The 24,222-nt window shown below is 41.6% G+C and overlaps 1 protein-coding gene and 1 long non-coding RNA gene across 3 annotated transcripts in view, besides 3 other annotated features; both read right to left on the bottom strand.

Moving 5' to 3' along the window:
* RAB2A (RAB2A, member RAS oncogene family) overlaps window positions 1-639 on the bottom strand; it is a 106,735-nt gene extending 106,096 nt beyond the window's left edge. Inside the window, exon 1 of one of the 2 annotated variants that reach the window (NM_001242644.1) lies at window positions 296-639. In NM_001242644.1, coding sequence (NP_001229573.1) covers window positions 296-341 — 46 coding nt within the window. In that variant the 5' untranslated portion in view covers window positions 342-639. The remainder of the gene's footprint in view (window positions 1-295) is intronic. The other variant, NM_002865.3, reaches the window with a different exon arrangement.
* Window positions 109-978: a silencer, noted in NCBI's record as "silent region_19224". NCBI's record gives its function as "represses an Ori minimal core promoter by ATAC-STARR-seq in GM12878 lymphoblastoid cells {active_cell/tissue: GM12878}" and the evidence as "EXISTENCE:reporter gene assay evidence [ECO:0000049][PMID:35858748]".
* Window positions 109-1,414: a biological region, named in NCBI's record as "H3K27ac hESC enhancer GRCh37_chr8:61428694-61429554".
* Window positions 554-1,414: an enhancer, noted in NCBI's record as "H3K27ac hESC enhancer chr8:61428694-61429554 (GRCh37/hg19 assembly coordinates)". NCBI's record gives its function as "activates a minimal SCP1, AML or CMV promoter by ChIP-STARR-seq in primed H9 embryonic stem cells {active_cell/tissue: H9 hESC(primed)}" and the evidence as "EXISTENCE:reporter gene assay evidence [ECO:0000049][PMID:30033119]".
* On the bottom strand, window positions 751-23,610 carry LOC124901949 (uncharacterized). The gene is made up of 3 exons (XR_007060922.1): window positions 23,362-23,610; window positions 8,737-8,950; window positions 751-3,857 (listed from the first exon to the last, which is right to left on the bottom strand). It is a non-coding gene; the product is annotated as an uncharacterized LOC124901949 (long non-coding RNA).
* Between the last annotated feature and the right edge of the window lie 612 nt (window positions 23,611-24,222).

Genomic DNA, 24,222 nt, shown 5'->3' with positions numbered 1-24,222 from the left:
CCCTGCGCTAGGCCTCCCCTCCTGTCACACACTTCCTGAATCGGGCGTCGCAAACGGCTGCCACGGCCCTCAGCTGCAAGACTGGCCGGGTCGGGGGCCGCAGACCGGGCCTGGCCAGGCCGCGGCCGCTCGCAGTGCCCACGTCACCAGCTCCAGCACTGCGGAAATGGAGCGGCGCGGCCAGGAGGGAGGCGCCGGGTGGAGTCCGCGTCCCCGCCACCGCCAGACGCCGTTTGCCCCTCAGCCCGGGTCCGGAGGCCGCCGACACCCGCCCGGCCGCGCCCGGGGCCCTCACCTGTGTCGCCGATTATGATGTACTTGAAGAGATAGGCGTACGCCATGGCCGCGGCCGCTCAGTGCCAGGGCACACGGCTCCTCCTCCCGCTGCTGCTCCTCCTCCGCGCCCCAACCCCGGTGCCGCTCAGCCTCGAAACGCCAGGCGCCGCCCGCCGCCGCCGCTGCTGCTGTCAGCCGCCGGGAGTGAGGGGCTGTGAGGAAGCCGGACGAACTGACACCCGCAGAGCCGAGGGAGACAGCGCCCGACCGAGCCCAGCCGAACAATAACAGCCGCCGCGGCGCCTCCGCCCCGCCTCCGCGCCGACCCGGAAGTTCTGCGGCCGCCGGCGCCGCCGGAGGAAAGGGGAGGAGCCCCGCACGCTGGCCCAGCCCTGCACGCTGGCCGCGCCCCGCCAGCCGGAGCCCCGCCCCGCCCCGCCCCGCGCCTGCCTTGCCCGGTCCGCCCTGTCTTCCAGCAGGGCGGGGCCCGGCTCCGGTTGTTCCGCCACGTTTGAGCGGGCGAGCCCGGCGGCCGGGAGACGCCAGGGAACGGGGCTGGTGGGGGTACAAAGGCTCGGTTCCGTCGCCTTCAGCCCTGCGGTGGGGGCACGGGGCAAGTGAGGGGACGGCAGAGGCGGCGTTCGGTGTGAGGCTGCGCCCTGGGCTCCTGAAAATGTGTGTGAAAATGTGGGAGGCACACGGCGAGGGGGTGGGGGTGGCCTGGTATTTCTGTGTTTGGCATCGGGGCTTGAAGGTGAAAATGGCAGTATTTATAAATTGGAAACCGTAAATCTGGGACTGCAAAGTAAATCATGGTATGCACGCACAGTGGAGTACTACGTTGCTCTCACCTGAGGTCAGGAGTTCGAGACCAGCCTGGCCAACATGGCGAAACCGCGTCTCTACTAAAAATACATTAGCCGGGCGTGGTGGTGCTCGCCTGTAATCCCAGCTACTCGGAGTCTAAGGCAGGAGAATCACTTGAACCTGGGAGGTGGAGGTTGTAGTGAGCCGAGATTGAACCACGGCACTCCAGACTGGGCGACAGAGCGGGACTCCGTCTCAAAATAATAATAGTAAATAAAAAATAAATAAAGTCTCTGAACCTGTCCTGGTTCTGAGGGCTGCTCTAAAAAAAAAAAAAAAAAAAAAGCCTGACTTAGGTTAAGCAAAACCGAGATGATCTGTTTATGTGTGTGTATATAACATGCACCATATGTAATATATGAATTGTATATAATTTTTATGTGTAACAAATAGTGGGAAAACATTTACATACCCATATATGCATAATCAATCTGAAAGGAAAGCTAACTGGTATTAAGAGAAAGGAGGGAATGGGATTGGGGGGAAAATGTACTTTTCCCTGAATTTTTTTGTGCAGTTTGACATTTTTTGCAGTGTTCATGAGTTACCTATTAGGAAATACTGTTAAAGGAAAAAACAAAATGACTGTGCATTCAAAGAATAGTTATTGAATACTATGTTTCATGTACCGCCAGGCACAGCAACTGGAGGCCCTGTATGTTCTATGTTCTGTTTTTCTACTTTGCTTTTTCAGTCATCCAGCCCAAAATGTCACCACTCTGTTCAAAAAGACCACAGGTTATGGAAGAGGAGGTGGAGAATAGGGTGTCAGGAAAGGTTACTTAGAGATTATGATTTCTGAGCCAGGAATATGAATTATGTATAGAGTTTGTCGAAAGAACAACAGTTTGGGGAGGGGAACCAAAGTTTATGGACAAGGAACAGAATGTGCAAAATTCCTGGATCTGTTCAGGGAATTTGAAGTTGCATAAGGAAGCTAATTGACTAACTCATATCCTCATAACCCATAACCTCATATTGAAGGAGAATCATTGCTGGGGAAAAGCGATTGGGATTTAGTGGCCCTCGTTCCTGTTGCCTAATACTCTTCTCTTTGGGGCCTCTCATTATGTAATTAGTACTGACACCATCATGCTGGGTTGCTAACATGCTTTGGATGGCCTTGCCAAATATGAACTCACAAGGTTTTTCTGGAATATTTGGAGGGGATTTTACTAAAGGGTCAGAGATGGCACGGAAGAATTTGACATGAAAATTTGACATGAAAAGCTACCTGGAATCGCAAAATTTGGTTCATTCACCTTTAGTTTGAGGAAGGGGAGGTCCCTGCCCAAGGCCTCCAGTTTTCAGATGTCATTTTGTCCCTCCCACTTGAGTGCCTTCACCCAAGTCTTCCTTGGTGATGGAGAAACTCAAGTCTTCACTCTCACAAGATAGAGGGATGTGGCCTTCCTTCACCAGCACAACTCTATTAGGATGTTATACAAATGCCTGGCATCCTAGGAGTCAGGAGTATTCCTACACTGTTAGAGGAGGAGAGTACCTGGAGAGGTCTCTTGTGCCAGGTTATGTAGGGCCTTGTATGTTATGTCACCATGCATTTAGAACTTTACTTAGTAGACAAAGGAAATTGTGACAGGAAATGGTCAGAACTGGGTATGTAACAAAAATCATAGAAATGGATATAAAGCTATAGAGGCAATGTGTTATAAGGAAAATAGGATACCTGGCTTCTGGTCTTGGCTCTACCTGTAACTGATCGGATGAATGTGAGGAATCGTTTGGCCTCTTAAAGCTTCAGAGCACAGGTTGCGATGGCTTGTGCCTGCGGTCCCAGCTACTTGGGAGGCTGAAGAGGGAGGATAGCTTGAGCCAAGCAGTTTGAGGCAGCAGTGAGCTAGGATGGTGCGACTGCACTCCAGCTTGGGCTATAGATTGAGACCTTGTGTCTTAATAAATAAAATAATTATTAAAATAAAAATAATTTAAAAAATTATGAGTGGTTCAGTGCACTTGTCTATTAAGTAAAGGAGTTAAGTGTTTCTTAAAAGGGCTATTCCAAGCATGACGTCTTTTAATTTTATGCTTAGCCAGCCTCCAAATCTAAAGCCATCTGTAAAGAAGGTAGTAATCCTCTCGTGAAAATGCAGGGGCCATAGATGTCAAATGCATATTGTTCTGATTGATTGATTGATTGATTGAGAGGAGGTCTTGCTCTGTCATCTAGGCTGGAGTACAGTGACCCAGTCATGGCTTACTGCTGTCTTGACTTCCTGGGCTCAGGTGATTGTCCTGCCTCAGCCTCCTGAGTAGCTGGGATCACAGGCACATGCCACCACGCCTATATCATTTATTATTATTATTATTATTTGGAGAGATGGAGACTCCCTCTGTTACTCAGGCTGGTCTTGAACTACTGGCCTCAAGCAATTCTCCCACCTTGAAGAACAGGATTTTCAAGTTCTTCTCTGGGCTTCAGTTTCCTTATTTGGAATATGTGGATAATAACTGCTTAACAAAGTCCATTTAGGATCAAATGAGATAATGTATGTGAAAATACTGTGTAAATTATGAAAAATGTATACCTAATACATAAAACTCTTTGCACTGCATAATTTTTGGAAATTACTTGAGGGGCTGAGTGCGGTGGCTCATGCATGTAATTCCAACACTTTGGGAGGCAAAGTCTGGAGGATCCCTTGAGCCTTGGAGTTCAAGAAGATCAGCATGGGTTACATGGTGAGATCCTGTCTCTACAGAAAATTAAAAAGAAAAAAAAGAAATTAACTTGAGGAACTAAAGGCCTAATCACTATATAAATTCATGGTTTAAAATTAAGTTTGTTCCTGGCTCTATTTTATGTCTCTACCTTTTTTCCTATGTATGATTCATAATATTTTGTTATATTTTCTATAAACCTATAATCTCTTAAATCTTCGAAAAAATACAGGGTATAAATAAAAATCACATAAACCTCATTTAAAACATTTTCTTTAGCCCATAAAAATCCAAACATATTTTTCAAGAAAAGTCCCCCAGACAAAATAACAGAAATAAACCTCTCTTCCATTAAATATAGTATACTTCCTGGAATTTTCCATTCAGTTTGATTTTCGGCTATTTTCAGTCTCTTAGGATGTGTTGTGGTAACTCTGTCTCTCAGCCTTACATCATATATGGTCTGAAGGTCATAACTGTGAAATTTCAAGATTGTAGCACTACATTCTTCAGTGTCTCCTAATCAAGTTCTCCATGACATTTTTGAGTACAATACTATATTAGAAGTTTGCATTTGCTTCTCCCAACTAAACTTTCATGTTTATATTTTCTTTGGTTTTAATTACTCTCAGGCTTTGGGAAGAGGGATAGGGTGGAGTGGAATGGGAGAAGGTGGTTGGGAATACTGTAATCTTGAGGTTTTTGCCTTGGTTTCCATGGTTCCTTAGCCACTCCTTCTGAAATGGTATGCAAAACTGATAATGATGTATATATTTGCACATGTACACTTTTATGGGAGAGATTCTTCCATGACCCAGAAATAATTAAGAACAATTGTGAAATGCCTTCCTTCAGCCATCTCCAAGTACCATAACAGAACTAATTTTCCAGCAAATACTTAAACTCAGTACCAGTTTGTTTGTTTGTTTGTTTTTTAGAAAAAGTCTCTCTCTGTCACCCAGGCTAGAGTGCAGTGGTGCGATTTCAGCTCACTGCAAGCTCCACCTCCTGAGTTCAAGCGATTCTCATGCCTCAGCCTCCCAAGTAGCTGGGACTGTAGGTGCACACCACCATACCCGACTAATTTTTGTATTTTTAGTAGAGATGGGGTTTTGCCATGTTGACCAGGCTGGTCTCAAACTCCTGGCCTCAAGTGATCCACCTGCCTTGGCCTCCCAAAGTGCTGGGATTACAGGTGTGAACCACCACACCGGAACTCAGTACCAGTTTTGGAAGAAGAAATAATTAGATTCAAATCCTGACTTTACCACTCAACATCAGTTGAGTGATCTTTGATAGATTACTAAATGCTCTAAGCCTTAGTTTCCCCTCTGAGATGACATATATAAAATGTCTAGCACTATGTCAAGCACACAGAGGACACTTCTTAAACATTGAGGTTGTTTCCCCCTTCCTTTCCTCTCCTCCTTGTCCTCCTCCACCTTCAACCTGTTAATAAGAACTGTAGCTGCAAAGGAAATATATCTCTCCCTCTGCCCCAACTCTCACAACTGGCAATAACAAAAAACAAAAAACCACAGGAGGCTGGGCGCAGTGGCTCATGTCTGTAATCCCAGCACCTTGGGAGGTCGGGGCAGGTGGATCACCTGAGGTCAGGAGTTTGAGACCAGCCTAGTCAACATGTCAAAATCCCATCTCTACTAAAAATACAAGAATTAGCTGGGCATGGTGGCACGCACCTGTAGTCCCAGCTACTTGGGAGGCTGAGGCAGAAGAATCACCTGAACTCGGGGGTAGTTGCAGTGAGCTGAGATTGTGCCACTGCACTCCAGCCTGGGCGACAGAATGAGACTCAGTCTCTAAAAACAAACAAACAAAAAAAACCATAGGAGTTAAATGAGCCCAACAAGGACCCTGCCTTAAAGGAGAGTTGTCTTGTGCTAAGTCATAAATAACTTTGGCCTGATGAAGGCTACAGGAGAGGAGCTCTATTATTTTAGAGAGTACAATTTTTTGGGGGTGAAATGAGGGTAGGTTTTGCAGAGGGAGAGTCTTTTAAGCTGGGTCTTCAAGGGCATTATCTTTTATAGCTATTGTCTTAGCGTAGTCATTCCAGGTGCTTCAACAACCCTCCTTATTGTACTTGGTTTTTCTCATCTACTTGATATGCCATTTCTAGTCTAGTTGGATAACATTCTTAGTAATATTTCTTGTTTTGCTTTTCCACTCATGACCTATTTCTGGTTAGCTTATTATTATCCAAATATTCATTGTTTCTGGTTCAATAATCTGGTTCCATGTTGAAGCCAGAAGTGACTGTTTTCTCTTTTCCATTCCGTTCTGCTCATCCTTCAGAAAGCTACTTGAAGAGTCAAAAATTAGTGACAGCAAATTCACATCCTCAGTCAAAGTGTGTGTAGGTGGGAGAAAAAAGTTTCTTTTATATGTAGGCTATTCTTTATACCAATGGACTGGTCATTAGTAATAGAAAGTACTCATATAAGTGTATGGAACAGAAACAATGAATATTGGGATAACAATAAGCCAATTTTATAAAATACTGCATTAAAAATATAACTATTTGGTCAGGCATGCTGTCTCACACCTGTAAACCCAGCACTTTGGGAGGCTGAGGTGAGAGAATCACTTAAGTCCAGGAATTCAAGACCAGCCTGGGCAAAATAGTGAGACCTTGTCTGCATAAAAAAAGTTTATTTTTGGGGGGGATGAGGTTTCTGTTGCTCAGGCTGAAGTGCAGTGGTGCAATCATGCTCACTGCAACCTCAGCCTCCTGGGCTCAAGTGATCCTCCCACCTCAGCCTCCTAAGTACGTGGGACAATAGGCACACACCACCACACCTGGCTAACTTTAAAAATATTATTTGTATAGCCGGGCACAGTGGCTCACGCCTGTTATAGCAGCACTTTGGGAGGCCGAGGAGGGTGGATCACTTGAGATCAGGAGTTCAAGACCAGCCTAGCCAACATGTTGAAACCCCATCTCTACTAAAAATGCAAAAATTAGCTGGGTGTGATGGCATGTGCCTGTAATCCCAGCTACTTGGGAGGCTGAGGCAGGAGAATCGCTTGAATCAGGAGATGGAGGTTGCAGTGAGTCGAGATGGCACCACTGCACTCCAGCCTCAGTGACAGGGCAAGGCTCTGTCTCAAAAATAATAATTATTTGTAGAGATGGGGTTTTGCTATGTTGCTCAGGCTAGTCTCAAACTCCTGAACTCAAGTGATCCTCCGACCTTGGCCTCCCAAAGTGCTGGGATTACAGATGTAAGCCACTCTGCCTGGCCTTAAAAATTATTTTTAACTATTTAAAAAAATTACTATATAAGCTGGGCACAGTGGCTCATACCTGCATTCCCAGCTACTAGGGAGGCTAAGGTGGGAGGATCCCTTGAGCCCAGGAGTTTGAGGCTGCAGTAAGCAATGATTGTGCCACTGCATTCCTGCTGCACTCCAGCCTGGGCAACAGAGTGAGACCCTATCTTAAAAAAAAACCACTATATAATAGATATTGAATTAATAATTCATATAGAACTTAAAAGTGAATTAAAAACAAGAATAATACTCTTAAATTAATTATTTTTTCTAAGTCCTAGAGATTTGCTTAGTGCATTCAACAGAGACAATGGTCAGGAGAAAGGCTCCATTTTGGATTCCAGAAAGTCTGAATTACAGTCTCTTCCTTGCCACTAACTAGCTGTCCTTGAGAAAGTCCACTTCAAACTTTCATCATCTGTTCAAAAGAGATAATAATTCTGGTTACTTACATAATAGCATTTCTAGCGATAGATGTGAAGACACTCTGAAAAGTACATTATTGCTAGGAGAGTATATATATACCAAGTTGCAGGTGGCTTATTTTCTACAAATGTATCCAAGTATATTAAGGGAACAATTCCTACACAACCAGGTAAAGTCGGTAGTAGTTTATCATCTACATTGTTGAATTTTTTTTTTTTTTTTTTTTGTCAGTGGAGACCAGATCTTGCAACGGTTTCAAACCCTACTCTTCATTTGTCTTTAATATGTCCTATGTTTTATGTTAAATAGTAGGTGTTCCTTGCTTTGGAAAATTTGGGATTGGAATGGGAATGGGATCATGAAAATATACTTCACATGGTGCTAAAGAGAGAACTACTTGTTACTCTTTTTTTATTTTTTGTTTGTTTGTTTGTTTTAGCTTTACTGCTTCTTGTGGAGCAGGGCTACCCCATGGGCAATGTACCCAGAGTAGCGGTACTTGTTACTCTTACAGATGTCTCAATTAATTTTAACCTCTATCCCTAATGGTGTTTAAATTTTGGTAAAGAAAAATTCATTTTTTCTTTATTTTCCAAGAAATGGTAAGCTATCTTTGTCCCTATGGGAGATGTGGACAGAGAAAACTTTCTGTCTCTGATGTCTTTTGTGTGAGACAAGATTTTAGGAAATAAATAAGTGGTGCAGGGAATTGTGAGATTACATTTCACCTCCTTTTCTGTCTCCTCTCTCTTTTATATAATCTTTATCTCTGCTTCTAACAATCTCCTTATCAGAATTTCTAACATATGTAATGATGAGAGAGAGAAAAACTGCCACCACAGGATCAAATTTCATTTCTAATCTGGAGAAACAGGAGTCTAGTTTTCCAAACATTTTTATTCTAAAAAAGAAAAGTTAAGCTATTAAAAGGGTAAGTATATTCTCCAAAAAGTAAAATTATATCTCAGGGCTCCTATTAAAAAATCTGTAAGGTTAATTCAGGTTTGTGGCAAGAAAAATTGCTGTACTTCCACTGCTGTTTTAAATTTCCCAATGTATGGAATCTGGAGATCAATTCTCAGAAACCTCTACAAATGTTCAGATTATGAGAAAATACTGCACAGCCTTGAAACAACAATAAACATTTGATCTCTCACACAATTTTTGTGCATCAGAAATCTACGAGCAGCTTACCTGGGTGATTCTGCCTTAGGGTCTCTCATATGTTGCATTTAATTTTTCAGCCAGGGCTGCAGTCATTTGAAGGCTTGACTGGGGCTGGAGGATTTTCATCCAAGATGGCTCACTCACCCAGCTGTTGGCAGGAGACCTCGGTTCTTTGACTTCTCCGTAAGACTGTGTGAGTATCCTCATGACAAGGCAGTTGATTCCTTCCAGAGAGGGTGATCTGACATAGAACAAGGCAAAAACCTCAATGTCTTTGTATGACCTAGCCTCAGAAGTTGCATATCATCACTTCTGGTGTATTCTGTTAGTCCCACAGACCAGCCATGATAAAATGTAGGAAGGGACTACACATGGGCATTTATGCCAGAGGCAAAGGTCATTGGGAGCCACCTTGGTAGCTGGCTGCCACAAACCTGAATAGATAAAGAAATAAAAACAGACATCTAATAAATATCATCTGAAGTCAGATCCATTTTGAGTCAAATCATGTTCATGTGATCTATCTGCATACAATTTTGTTATAAATGGATTAGCCTATAAAGAAGTTTGTTGTGGTTTTGGTTTTATATACTGCTAGAAATATTTTATTTTATTTTATTTTATTTTTGAGATGGAGTCTCACTCTGTCACTCAGTCTGGAGTGCAGTGGTGCAATCTTGGCTCACTGTAACCTCTGCCTCCCAGGTTCAAGCGATTCTGCCTCAGCCTCCCGAGTAGCTGGAATTACAGGCAAGTGCCACTACGCCTGGCTAATCTTTTTGTCTTTTTAGTAGAGGTGGGTTGTCACCATGTTGGCCAGGCTGGTCTCAAACTCCTGACCTCAAGTGGTCTGCCTGCCTCAGACTCCCAAAGTGCTGGGATTACAGGTGTGAGCCACTGTGCCCGGCCTGCTAAGAATATTTTAAATAAGGAACTGACAAATAATTATTTTAGGCCAGTGCTGTGGCTCAAGTCTGTAATCCCAGCTACACAGGAGGACTGCTGGAGGCCAGGAATCCCAGACCAGCCTGAGCAACATAGCAAGACCCCATCTATAAAAAAAATAAAAATAAATTAGCCAGGCATGGTGGCATGCAGCCTTAGCTACTTGGAAGGATCACTTGAGCCCAGGGGTTTGAGGCTACAGTGAGCTATGATTGTGTCACTGCATTGTAGCTGGGGTGACAGAGTGAGACCCTGTCTCTAAACAACAACAACAACAATAATTGTATGGTCATTAGCAAGCAGTGAGTTTTTGATTAAAAAAAGAAAAAAATAATTGTGTAGTCAGAAAAGGAAGATCAAGCATATTTTTTCAGTTTTAAAAAAAGTTATATGCAAAGCAATTGTTTTAAGGCTAGAATACAATGACAAAGTAGATCCTAAAAAGGATTTTTTTTTTTTTAAGAATACTTGCTGTTTGTTTCCATTCCACGTCCTTAGGGATTTACGTGAACAACAGAGTAAACCGTTTATTTATACTTTTTCATGAACTTTGAATCATTTTTTAGAAACTGAATGTTTTCCTGCCTGTGAAAACTCTTATATCCAAATACTACAGCAGCTATTATCATTATGAATAACATTGTATATTATGCATCATTTTGCATTTTAAGTTAAGTTTAACAAAAGTTACACTAAATGGGGGTGGTGAAAGTACTGCCATTAGCCAAGCAAGTTTAAGGTACAAACCAGGAGGGAAGCTTCACTATCATTTGATTCCCCAAAAGTACCTTTTCTGATACTACAGTTTAGTAATCTTTATTAGAAGAACTGCAGCCTTATGTAATTTTGAAATCTTATCTTGAAGTTTTCATTACCAGACTTACTGAAGAACATTTTTTGCTCTTAGTATATGGGTATTTTAATTTTCTTGATACTGTATCTGATACAAATTATAATACGAAAGTGTCCGTTTGAAAGAGCAGAGTATTCAGCATTGACACACTATACTTTTTGTTGATTTTTCCTTTAGAAAAATCAATTATAGACAAAAACCTCTTTAGAACTAGATCCTTCTTCCTCTCCTTGAATTAACTGCATGCATTTCTGAAAGGTTCTTCTTTCACTTTACCTCAAAAGACACTGAATCCAAACACCAGTGGTGAGATTGTCTGATCTGAACTCTGAGATAAGCTATTTTGCTTTAAAAAAACAAAAAACAGACAGGTTATTGAATTACTAATTGAAATACAAAAACTAAATTACTTACCTTTCCTTTCTTGGAAACAAGCAGAGATGAGGAAGTATACGTGTAACATGGTTTGTTATAAGTGACCCAGTAGATAGGAAATTGAAAGTGGACTCAGTTTACAGGGATCCTTCAAGTAGTGTTAATTCACTCAAGAAAATTTTAAAGTTATTTAAGTAAATAACAATTTAATGATTTATTTAATGTAATCATATGAAAAAGAACATTTGAGACCTGTCATTCAGATGCCAGGCCCTTTGCCAAGTGCTATAGATAAAGAGAGAGGTAGACTTACCATGAACCTAATGAAGCTTAATTTCAGGGCCCCTAATTTGCAGAAACATCTTTTAATGCAAATGTGTTCACATGATCAGTTTTCTATTTTTGCAAATAAAAAGTTGCTAAAGTAAGATATTTAAACCTTAATCAGTGAATTCTATTGTCTCTCTTTAGTCTTCACTTCCATCTGTGACACTTGCCCTTGTGTTGAGAGGTGTTAGAGAATATTCACAGATCTTTTTTTTTGGTACTGGTTAAGGAAGAGTATTGTTGAAGATACACTTAGTTTTGTAAGATATATTAATTTGATCACTTGCACGTGTAGTTGAATTATTGCAAAGAATTGTCCAGTATAGAAATGGCTTCCAGAGACACTGCAATCTCTACTGTGCTGATTCACACTGCATCATATGATATAGAGGTTGTATCTTAATTTAGCATGGTCCTACTGGATTTGCTTTTTATTACTAAATTACTAAATAACCTTAGAGACTAAAGACAATACAGCATTGTGAGATAATTAGGGGGTATTGTCTTTAGCCTCTAGGGTTGTGGTAAATCTGGGCATCGTCTCACTGGATTCTCGACTCAGGATCTCATAAGGCTAAACTCAAGGTGTTGGCTTGGTTGCATCCTCATCTGGCATTCAGAGTTCCTTTCCAAGCTTACATAGTGTGGCCAGATTCATCTCCTTGTAGTCATTATTTCCTTGTTGGCTCTTACCTGGGAGCTGCTCTCAGCAACTAGAGGCCACTTGAACGACTTACCACGTGACCTACTCTATTTCCAGAGCTGGCAATAGAGAATCTCTCTCATTTTTAATCCTTCATGCTTTGAATCTCTTTGTCAGGAAGGGTGCTGTTCCCTTTAAGGACTCAACTGATAAGATCTGGCCCATCCAGGATCATCTTTCTATCTTAAGGCCAACTGATTTGGAACATTATTCACATCTACAAAATCCCTTCACAGCAGCACCTAAATTAGTGTTTCAACAACTGGAAAAGCATATGTGTATGCCAGGGTGCAAAAATCTTGGGAGTCATCTTATATTTCTACCTACCACACCTGCTGTGCCCAGCATGGAAAGTATATGGGTTAATGAGTTTTACCTATTATAAAGCTTTTCAACTCAGAATGTATATTTTCAAAGACCTGGAAGGAACATTCAAACATAAAGGAAATGAAAACATTTTCCAAAAGCTCACACAGCTAGAATACACCATTTTAGTGGCAATGTTTCTATTAAAACTAGTAAGAATTTATAGACTCCTCATTTATTTATGAAAAACCTGGATATGCTTATTTATTAGAACAAAGAGTTCATAAGAAGTTAACAGCATGTGCAATGAAAGCAATAAAGATGAATAATAAAATGAATAAAAGCTAGGTACAGTGGTGTATCTTGCCTGTAATCCCAGCACTTAGGGAAGCTGAGATGGGAGGATTGCTTGAGCCCAGGAATTTGAAATCAGCATGGGCAACAAAGTGAGACCTTGTCTCTACAATAATAATAATAAAAAAGTTAGCAGGCCACTATGGCATGTGCTTGTAGTCCCAGCAACTTGGGGAGCTGTGGTGAGAGGATTGCTTGAGCCCAGGAGAATGAGACTGGCTGCAGTGAGCCATGTTCCTGCCACTTCACTTTAGCCTGGGTGACAGAGCAAGACCTTGTCTAAAAAAAAAAGACTCAGTGGCTTTCTTGAACTCAGAAGAAAGGGGCCCCTGCCCTGAACCCTGCGTTTTAGAGTACCTTGCCCATCACAAATGTAAAAGCACAAACATACTTGTTTTTGTTTCTGACCTCATGGTTGCAGGAAGCTGGCTGAGAACAGGAGAGAATGGCTTGGGGGAAAAAAAAGCTCTTTCAAGTTGGCCACCCCAAATCACCCAGATGGGTGTCCAGGCAAATCAGGGCCTCTAGACACTTGCTCTTCTTTTCCTCTTCTACTTGGCTGGTATTGTTTTGAGAGGTGAATTTCTAGGAGGGCAAGATTTTTGTGTGTGTGTGAAACAAGAGAAAGGTTATCTGCTTAACCTAGCTCCCTGAGGAACTTAATCAAGTCACTCCCATTCTGGCATTTGGGTGGGTCCAGGCAGCACCCAAGAGTCCAGGACCTCACCAGGTCCAGCTCAATGACAGACTTTGTATGGAAGAACTGGGAAGGAGAAAAAAGTAAGCATGATTCCTGTTTATTTTGCCTGATGAACAAAGTAATGCAATTAATTGAGGTAGGAGACCAGGTATGTGGGAAAAAGGAGAGTGAATCAAAGATTCTGTTTTGGACATGTTGAATTGAGATGCCAGTAGACTTCTAAGTGATCTCACATGAGCGATTGGACATTTGAATCTGGAGCTTGGGGGAGTGGCCTGAGCTTGAGATAGAAATACTACATAGCTGGCATAATTGTGGGGGCCAAATGTTTTTTTCAACTATGTGCTAGACATTTGTAGTTCCTCTATTGTAGATAACATGCTTGTGTCCTTTACCTATGTATCTATTGAATCTCTCACAGTTATTCTTAAAATTTCCTAAAAGTTTAATGCAATAAAAAATGTTTAACAAACTACCTTAAATCATCTAATTTTTACAGCAAGCCTGGTACAGCTTTTTAAATTTTTGACTAATGAGAGTTGTGACCTCCACAGACAAATTTAAAAATCATCAGCATATAACAAATAAGAAAAACATATTTGTCGTCCACAAGGAAATGATGTATGCTTTATGTTCACAAAGCAAGGCTATATTGTGTCTCCCAAGGGGGCTCACAGGCTGGTATGTATAGTAAATCAGGCTTAGAAACCTGATTTCTCTGTATATCAAGAGTGAATTCATCTTTCAGGAATGGACTTACATTAACCTAGTTTATGAGTCTGATTTTTAAAAGCAGAAGGTCAAATTGCAATGAGAAATCATTGTCCCAGAGACAGGGATATTTTAAATTTGTGCAACTAGCTTTTTGTTATCCTGGACAAAGAATAATGTCTATGGAATATTTAATGACCTTAAGCTAAGAGAACATGAGTCACCCATCTCACTTTTGGGATGAGAAAAACATTAATCCCAATACCTTTAATCAGCTCATTCGCTCACTTACTTCATCAGCCCTAACCACACCCTGTTATCTCCCTCTGAACAGCGCCATTTATCTCTTTGGCCTCTGCAGCATTTATAATCCTGGCCTAATGGCTTTGCCCAAGTATCAAATATTTTGATGAATGAAAAACTCCCATGAATCATGTTTAAAACAAGTTTTTTTTTGTGGTTGAAGTTCTTGAGATCTAAACCATGAATCATGTTTTAATAGAGAATACTGCTTTTTATCTCTGAGACCTTCCTTTTTTGAGGGTTTAAGGCTGACTAACCCCACTTGTGATAACAGTCATTTTAGATACTTTAACAAATTCAATCAAATTACCATCCAGTTCTGGCCCTGGGATCCAATCTGGATCTTCAGGTCACTCCCATAATTTTATTTGGCAGTATATTAAGCCTCCAGCTTCATTAGTTACTGACCATATGACCTGGCCATGCCATTGATTCCATCTGTATTTCAGTTTCTTAATCTGTAAAATGGGAAAAAGAATATCAAAGTGATAGGATTACTGTGCAGTGCCGAGGTTGTGGGAAGCACATGGATCATTCCATGTGGCAGGGAAATCCCCTTCAAGGGGCAGCTCACCAATTGCTGGGTAAGTTCCTGAACCCATCATTGGCAGGAGGCACGGTATTCTGTGTGAACTGGCCATTCTCAGGCTGAGCACTTCCATGCAAGTGTATGCTGGGCATTTTGAGTTGTTAGAGTGATGGCAAGTGGAGGTCAGGGATGCTAAACATCCTAAGATGCACCTGAGAGCCCTGCAGAGCAAATAACTGGTCAGCCCCAAGTGCCAGTTGCACCTGCTGCTAAGAAGTACTACTGGAGGGCCAGGCATCGTGGCTCATGCCTGTAATCCTGGCACTTTGGGAGGCCAAGGCGGGCAGATTGCTCAAGCTCAGGAGTTTGAGACCAGCCCGGGCAACATGGTGAAACCTCGTCTCTACAAAAAAATTCAAAAGTTAGCCGGGCATGGTGGCACACGCCTCTAGTCTCAGCTATTTGGGAGGCTGAAGCACGAGAATTGCTTGAGCCTGGGAGGCTGAGATCGTGCCACTGCACTCCAGCCTGGGCAACAGAGAGAGACTGTCTCAAAAAAAAAAAAAAAAAGACTGCTGTAGGCAAGAGACTGACCCTTGAAGCTCACTGGCTGCATGGGAGGATATGGGTGTTGAAAAACATCTGGAAGAAAGGGGGAAAAGGGAGCAGAGAAGGCAACCAACAACAGCTATTATAGATGCAGATTTTGGAGGCAGACAGCCTGGGATTTAAAACTTTGCTCTACTACTTTCGAGCCATGTGATCAAGCTAATGAAACTTTAAAAACCTTACTTTCTTTAATAAGTAAAAAATGAAAAATAATACCTGCTCTTGAGATTGCTAAGATTAATGAAAGAATGTATGAGTCTGTCAAATGTCCTGGTCCACAGAAGGGACTCAATGTCTGTGTTCCCTTTGTTCTTGCTAGGATGTGCATTAGTTTACAGTGTAGCCACTTGATAGCATCTGAAGGGATCAGTACCTTGCTATTTCCAACAAATGTGTTTTGAGGTGCTGATATCGTCTAATGAGGGTGTGAGCCATCATTTAAACCATTAGATTAGGAACATTGCAGATGGTCCCAGCACAATGTGTATATGTCACAGATGGCTCATAATAGCTAGTCTGTATTAATAAGCAAGACTAGACATATCAGTTTTAGGTCTGGGTTTTTGTTTCCTTCTTAAGTATACTATTGTATAAAGTCAATGTATGCACATGTTTGCTTCTCTCTCTCTATATATATACACACACACACATATATATACACACACACACATATATATAGCCTCCCCATATATATATATATATGTTTGTTTATATATATATATATTTGTTTTCCTTATATAGACGGAGACTCATTATGTTGCCCAGGCTGGTCTCAAACTCCTGGGCTCAGATGATCCTCCCGCCTTGGCCTCCTTCCTAAAGTGCTTACAGGTATAAGCTACCATGTCTGGCCTGTTTTATAATTAGGCAAAAATGCATAAGAAAATGATCTCCATTCTGTTTTTTAGGCTGGGTGTGGTGGCTCACATCTGTAATCCCAGCACTTTGGGAGGCTGAGGTGGGTGGATTGCTTGAGGTCAGGAGTTCAAGACCAGCCTGACCAACATGGTGAAACCTTGTCTCTACTAAAAGTACAAAAATTAGCTGGGCGTGGTGGTGGGTGCCTGTAATCCCAGCTACTCAGGAGGCTGAGGCAGGAGAATCGCTTGAACCTGGGAGGCGGAGGTTGCAGTGAGTCAAGATCATACCACTGCACTCCAGCCTGGATGAAAGAGCAAGACTCTGTCTCAAAAAAAAAAAAAAAAAAGAGAAAATAAAATAATAATCTCCATTCTGTTTTTTAGTGCATCTGCTTCCCTTCAAACACAGGCCATTATGGACTGTGTTCTCTGTTTGGAAGTTAACTCATACTTTTTTTTCTTCCATATTCTATGTAAATTATTGATTCCTCTGGAAAAGCCTCCTTGATTTTCCACATTAGATAGGTCTTTTGTTTTTGTTCTTATAGTCTTGCGTTTCTGTTGTTTATTGCTACTTTACAAATCACTCCAAAATCCTGTGGTTTAAATACTAACAGGATATCATTTCTCATAATTCTTTTGGTTGATATATTAGTCTGTTCTCACACTGCTATGAAAAACTACCTGATACTGGGTAATTCATAAAGAAAAGAGGTTTAATTGGCTCGTAGTTCCACAAGCTGTACAGGAAGCATGGCTGGGGAGGCCTCAGGAAACTTACAATCATGACAGAGGTGAAGGGGAAGCAGGAACAATCTTCACATTGTGAAGCAGGATAGACAAAGTGAAGGGGGAGGTGCTCCACACCATTAAACAACCAGATCTTGTGAGAACTCACTCACTCTCACGAGAACAGCAAGGGGGAAATTCGCCCCCATGATCCAGTCATACCCCACCAGGTCTCTTCCCCAACATTGGGGATCTCAGATTGAGAGATTTGGGTGGGGACACAGCATCAAACCATATCAGTTGATTAGGTGATTCTGCTTCATGGGGTGTTGTGTCAGCTGGAGTGCTGAGATAGTTGCAAGGTCACAAGGCTGGTATATCGTGCTGGCCACCTACTGGGAGCTCAGTGGGGGGTTTTTGGCCAGGCTCCTTGGTTAACTCTTACATGGACATCTTTATGTGGCTGCTTGGCTTCCTCACAGACTGGCAACTGGATTTTAAGAAAGTGCACTCAAAGAGGCCTAATCCTATGTGCAAGTTCATCAAACTTCTGCTTACACTATGTTTGTAATGTCCCAATGGTGAAAGTTAATTGTATGGTGAAAGTTAATGTAAATGGCCCAATACCAGGACGTCAGGGCTACAAAGTCCAGCGGAGTCAAAGGAATGAGAAAAGACAGATTAAGAGTACATAAGGTGGGTCCAGGGGGCCAACGGTGGTATGGAGGCTGCAAAGGCCCTGAGCTCTGGGAGCCCAAACTATTTATTGATGATCAAACAAAGAAGCAGGTGGTGAGGATGTGTGGATGTGGGGGTAAACAGGTGAGGGCGTGAAGGCTTTGGGATAGAAAGGTAGCAGTGCATCAAGCATAGCTGTGACAGTTTAGCATTTTCTTTGATGACACAGAATATGCTCTGCTGCCTTGAGATAATAGAGAACATGTTTACGAGCCTGGGAGAGCAACCAACAAGTCTGTGCACATTCCAGAGGCCATGGGGGGTTTTATGCCCTGAGCCCTGGATTCCATCCAAGCCACGAGGGGTTTTATGCCCTGGGCTTAGATTTGTAGTGCAACAGGGCAGCCTTTCACCCTTTAGCACAGAGCTTGGTGTTCCAAAGGCCACGAGGGGTTTTAGACCCTGGACCCCGGACATCTTCCAAGACTCTTTTATATTATGACAGACAAGCCAGTCCTGCCTCAGCTCTTCTAACAACATGTCTTCCTTTTCTTTTTTGCAAAACCACCACAGCTATCTTTGCTTATTCTTGGAGGTGGCTTTCTCTCCAGAGGCGGCTTCCGCATCTGCAGAGTATATAAAGACAACACAGATTAAAAGCACAATCATTATTGAAATCACAGAGCCTCCAAGTGTCTTGATCCATTTTAGCGGGTTAATAGCTGCTAATCTGTCTGCAGCTCCTTCAAATACTTCAGTTCCTGGCATTAGTGTCAGATGTGCCTGAGAGGCTTGAAATACTTGTTCCTTCAGTTTTGCAATATCCAAAGATAAATTTCCAGTATGACCTTTTAAATGTCTCTTAACTTTTTCACACTCATCCTCTCTTTTATTATACAGATGAGGAGTAATGTAAAACTCAGAGGTATTTCAATCACATTACATTTGAATTTTACTTTTTAAACTTACGATATGATCTCTCATTCAAATCACTGTCTGACGGAGATCATTATTTGGTTAACTATTTTTTGGTTTACTTGAGTTTGAGAGTTCCATGATTTTGTGGAATTCTTTTGTCACTTATTGACAAATTTAACAGTTTGTACAGATGACTGTAGAGCCACACCAGCTACTGCAGTAGTAGTAGTAACAGCAATGAGGCCAATTGTAGCAACTATGAGAGCAACTATAAATCTTTTTGAACAGGATAAAAGTTTTTTGAGAATTTGTTACTATATGAATGGATGGAGATGCCTCCTACAGTCTATTTAAAGACATAGGGATTCAGACTCCTTCCCTGGCTTTAATTATTAGGATAGTCTGATTTTTATTAAAAGTTGAATTAATGCAGGTAAAAAATGACATTTGAGGCATGAAATAAAGTGTGTATTTATATCAAGAGTAATATTTCCTATTGCTAGCACAAAAGGTGGCTGGACACAACTTTGAATCCAAAAAGTCCTGTTGAAAAGAAAAGAAAGAGCATATTTATTTTTACCTCCTTCCTCTTTATAGTTGTTATATTTACCCTATCAAATTTTGATTGAACTTTGAGCCATAGCTAATTTCCTTAATTCAGAACATTCCTGTTCTATGGCAGGAGATATTATTTTTGGACTAGGGGTGACAATGCCAGTAGGACTCCATATGATAGGTACCTCAGCTTTTGTCCGAATATATTGTGTATGATTTAATTGCCAGTGGTTACATCGGTTTATTATATTTGTTCTACAAGAAGGCCTTCTGGTGCAATTTTTTTTAAAAGATCCCATTAGGAGGCTAATTAATGATGACTCCATAGGAATTATTTTGTAGCACCTCAGCCTTACTTGCCATACAATCTTCCCAAGTTCAAGAATCCACACCTTTAAACTCTATTTTGTTTATATTTGAACTTATTCAGATGGAACTGCAGGGTTTTAGGATGGGAATGATTATATTTTAAACTATGCCCCGAAATCATATGCAAAGCAGCCCATGATTTAATTTTTTGGGGACTACTGCCAACCAGGCCTGTGAGTCAATCTGTAAACATCCAACAGCAGGTCCCAGGCATATTGGGGGATATTTATATTTTATGGATATATTTATTTTTATCCCTTCCTAATTAGGATGCATTGGCCCTCAGTTATCTATGGGTGCTGGCATCCAGGTACTGACGTTGGTGTACACCTTAATAACAGGGTCCATCCAACTCACAGACCTAATTAAAGGAGGAAATGAGACATATGCCCAATAAGTGAAATTCTGAGTTGCTCCTATAGTAAGGAGGCTTGCCGCCATGGTGAGTACTGCCAGCATGGCCACCATCAGGTTACTAGTTGTTTTTAGTTTGTTCTGTGCTTTCAAGTTGTCCTTTGCCATCTGCACCAGCTTCTTGATTTGTCCCCATGTTGGAGAATTTGCCTGACGACTATTCTCGGTTTTCTCCTTTGTCTCTGAGATGTTTGTTTGCGGAATCACTCGTATCAGGAGTTTTGGCTCTTCCCAGAGTCTTCTCTTCCTGCTGTAGCTCATGATAGATCTTCAGATGTTTGGTGGGCACCCATACAGGCACCTGATTGTTACCTGGAGAGACCCAAGCAAATCCTCTTCCCCATATAATTATCCATCCTTTGATTAAGTTTAGTTAAAGGGCCAGGGAGGTTAGTATGTGCTCTCATATGAGTGATATAGAAAGGGGAATGCCTTTGTTGTACTGCTTGCTATAAAGAATGAAATAAAAGATTAAGTTGGTCATTAGTCACATTTTGAATTAAGACACATTCAATATTTTGTCTGGCTTGCACTAAAGAGGCTGAATCAGAAACAATGTTTACTGGCTGTTTAAAAGATTTTAACACTGTTATCACAGCCATAAATTCAGCCCTTTGAGCAGAAGCAAAGTCAGTTTGAAAAATTTGTTGTTGAGGTCCCACAAATGAGGCCTTCCATTACTAGATCCATCAGTAAAAACAGTAATGGCCCGTTCAATAGGGATTTTTTGAGTAATGGAAGGCAATATTCATGATGTTAATTTAAGAAATTGGAATATTTGGGATTTAGGATAATGATTATCAAGAATGCCAATAAAACCTGCCAAATTAACTTGCCATTCCTGATAATTAATATCAGCTTGTTGAATTTGTTGTTTGTTTAATGGAACTATAGTTTGATTTGGATCATATCCCATTAACTTTGTTGTGTGCAGCCTTGCTTGTCCTACTAGTACAGCAATTTGATCTAAGTACAGAGTGAGCGTTTTAGTCGTATTGTGAGGTAGAAAAAGCCACTCAACCAGATCAAGATCATTCTATTGAACAGTAACTCCTGTAGGTGAATGTTTAGTAGGAAAAACTAAAAAAACTGTAATGGCTGCATAGAGTCAATTCGAGTCACTTGTGCCTGTTGAATTTTTTCTTCAATTAATTGAAGTTCTTCTAATGCTTCTTTGGATAAAGAGCATTTACCGTTAAGATCAGAATCACCTTGGCTGGGCGCAGTGGCTCACACCTGTAATCCCAGCACTTTGGGAGGCTGAGGTGGCAGATCATGAGGTCAGGAGATTGAGACCATCCTGGCTAAAACAGTGAAACCCCATCTCTACTGAAAATACAAAAAATTAGCCGGGCATGGTGGCGGGTGCCTGTAGTCCCAGCTACTTGGGAGGCTGAGGCAGGAGAATGGCATGAACCTGGGAGGTGGAGCTTGCAGTGAGCCGAGGTGGCGCCACTGCACTCCAGCCTGGGTAACAAAGGGAAACTCCATCTCAAAAAAAAAAAAAAAAGATCAGAATCACCTTGTAAGGCAGAAAACAGATGAGACATAGCATAAGTAGGAATGCCTAAAGTTGGACGAATCCAATTAATGTCTCCTAATAATTTTTGAAAATCATGTAGAGTTTTAAAATTATCTCTTCTAATTTGAACCTTTTGAGGCTTAATAGTATTTTGTTCTATTTTCATTTCTAAATATTGAAAGGGAGTAGAAGTTTGGATTTTATTGGGGGCTATGATTAATCCTGCTGCAGTTACAGCCTTTTCTAACTGTTTGTAGCATAGTATTACTTCCTCCCTAGTTTCAGCTGCGTATAAATTATCATCCATGTAATGGATAATATAACATTTTTTGAATTGTTCTCTAACTGGCTAGATAGCTTTTCCAACATAAATTTGACAAATAGTTGGGCTATTTAACATGCCTTGTGGTAATACTTTCCAAAGGTATCTGTCCACTGGTTCTTTGTTATTTATAGCTGGAACAGTAAAAGCAAACTTTTCATAATCTTGGGTAGCTAAGGGTAAAGATGCAATCTTTTAAATCTATTACTATTAGAGGCCAGTATTTTGGAATCATGGTTGGAGAGGGCAGCCCTGGTTGCAGCACGCCCATGAGTTGAATTACAGCATTAACAGCCCTTAAATCTGTTAACATTCTCCACTTCCCTGATTTTTTTCTTAATAACAAGCACAGGAGAATTCCAAGGAGAGAAAGTAGGCTCTATGTGTCCCTTTCGCAATTGTTCCTGCACCAATTTTTTTAAAGCCTCTAGTTTTTCCTGTTTTAGTGGCCATTGCTCCACCCAAACTGGTTTGGCAGTTAGTCAAACAACTGAAAGAAGGATATTTTTCCCCTGTAACATTTATTCTTTTCCATGCCTGTAAGCACACAGTGCACAGCTGAACAATGGCAACATTCTTCATTACTGCTTAATTTTCTAATCAACCCCAATTAGGGCCAACTCCCATTAGCTGTTCAAAAGAAACAGGCACAGGTGGCTGTGCTTGTGTGTTTTCTCTTACCTGAGTTTGAGCTTCATCAGCCCACCAGGTTTTAAACTGTAAGTACTGAGATGGAGTGAGAACAGATTTTGTTAAAGTATCCCAGTCATATGGTATTAATCTATTATCAAGAGCCACATTTTTTGGTAAAGTTTGTACAAAAGGAGAATTTGGCACATATTGACTAACGGCTTGCTTAAATTCCTTTAACTACTTAAAAAGAAAAGTGGCCCAATTAGCTATATTCTGTCGTTGGGTTATAGTAATTGGAAATTGCCATGCTTCAAGGTCTCTCTCGGCTCTAGCGTTTTGAATAGAATTTTGTATAGCACCACCAGTCGCTCCAGGTTTTAATGTTGCAACTACAAGAGCAGTAAGTTTTTCAGCTAATTCGTTTTCTCACCCATTAGGAGGAGAGGGAGGAGGTGGCCATTCACTTAATTCAGCAGGTGGAACCGACTGGCTAGTAAAATACACCTTTTTCAGCTTCCCTTTCTTTTCTTTAATTTCCTCCGGGTCCTGTCCCTCACATTCAGAATCTGAAGTTAGTTTTTTTATAGTCACCTGCCTCTTCCTCATATGAATCTGCCTCATCATCTGTTTCAAATGGCTCAAGAGCTGCCTTTATCAACACCCACGCTGACCAAACAGAAAATGGAATTTTGGCTCCTTCTTTATGCACCTTTTTAAAATCTCTGCCAATTCTTTCCCATTCATCCAACTCCATTGTCCCTTGTTCTGGGAACCATGGGCAAAACTGCTCTACTGTATTAAAGAGTGTTAATAAATTCTGAGTACTAACTTTCACTCCCCCTCTCTGTAATAAATGCCTTAAGCAATTTAAATAAGCAGAATGTTTAATTTCATTCTGTCCCATTGTTACCCTGGTTCTTCTGAGTGCCCAGCTTACCCGCCGAGCTTCTTTCAGTCATCCTCGGTGTCCTCTGACAATGCATCTTCTGCTTCCACATGCTCTAGCATTCCTTCACCGGGGTCTTCATAGCCCCATGTTGGGCGCCAGAAATGTTGGGGTGATCAGACCCAACACCAGGCCGTGGGGGCTACGAAGTCCGGAGGAGTCAAAGGAATGAGAAAAGACAAGTTAAGAGTACATAAGGTGGGTCCACAGGGCCAACACTGGTATGGAGGCTGTGAAGGCCCCGAGCTCTGGGATCCCACACTATTTATTGGTGATCAGACAAAGAAGCAGGTGGTGAGGACATGTGGATGTGGGGATAAACAGGTGAGGGCATGAGGATGTGGGGGTAGAAAGGTAGTGGTGCATCAAGCGTAGCTCTGACGGTTTAGCATTTTCTTTGACGCATATAGAATATGCTCTGCTGCTTGAGATAATGGAGAACATGTTTATGAGCCTGGGAGAGCGACCAAGTCTGTGCACATTCCAGAGGCCATGGGGGGTTTTATGCCCTGAGCCCTGGATTCCATCCAAGCCACGAGGAGTTTTATGCCCTGGGCTTAGATTTGTGGTGTGGCAGGGCAGCTTTCCACACTTTGGCACAGAGCTTGGTGTTCCAAAGGCCACGAGGGGTTTTAGACCCTGGACCCCGGACATCTTCCAAGACTCTTTTATATTATGACAGACAAGCCAGTCCTGCCTCAGCTCTTCTACCAACACAAGTTCATCAGACTTTGCTTACACTATATTTGTAATGTCCCAGTGGTGCAAGTTAATCGTTGGCCAAACCCAGTGTCAACATGGAAGGGGATTACTCAGGGGCAAAATACCAGAAGGCATGATTCACTGAGGCCA

The sequence above is a fragment of the Homo sapiens genome, chromosome 8 (genome assembly GCF_000001405.40).
Source record: "Homo sapiens chromosome 8, GRCh38.p14 Primary Assembly".
NCBI lineage: Eukaryota > Metazoa > Chordata > Mammalia > Primates > Hominidae > Homo > Homo sapiens.
This window is presented reverse-complemented; position numbering and strand designations above follow the sequence as displayed.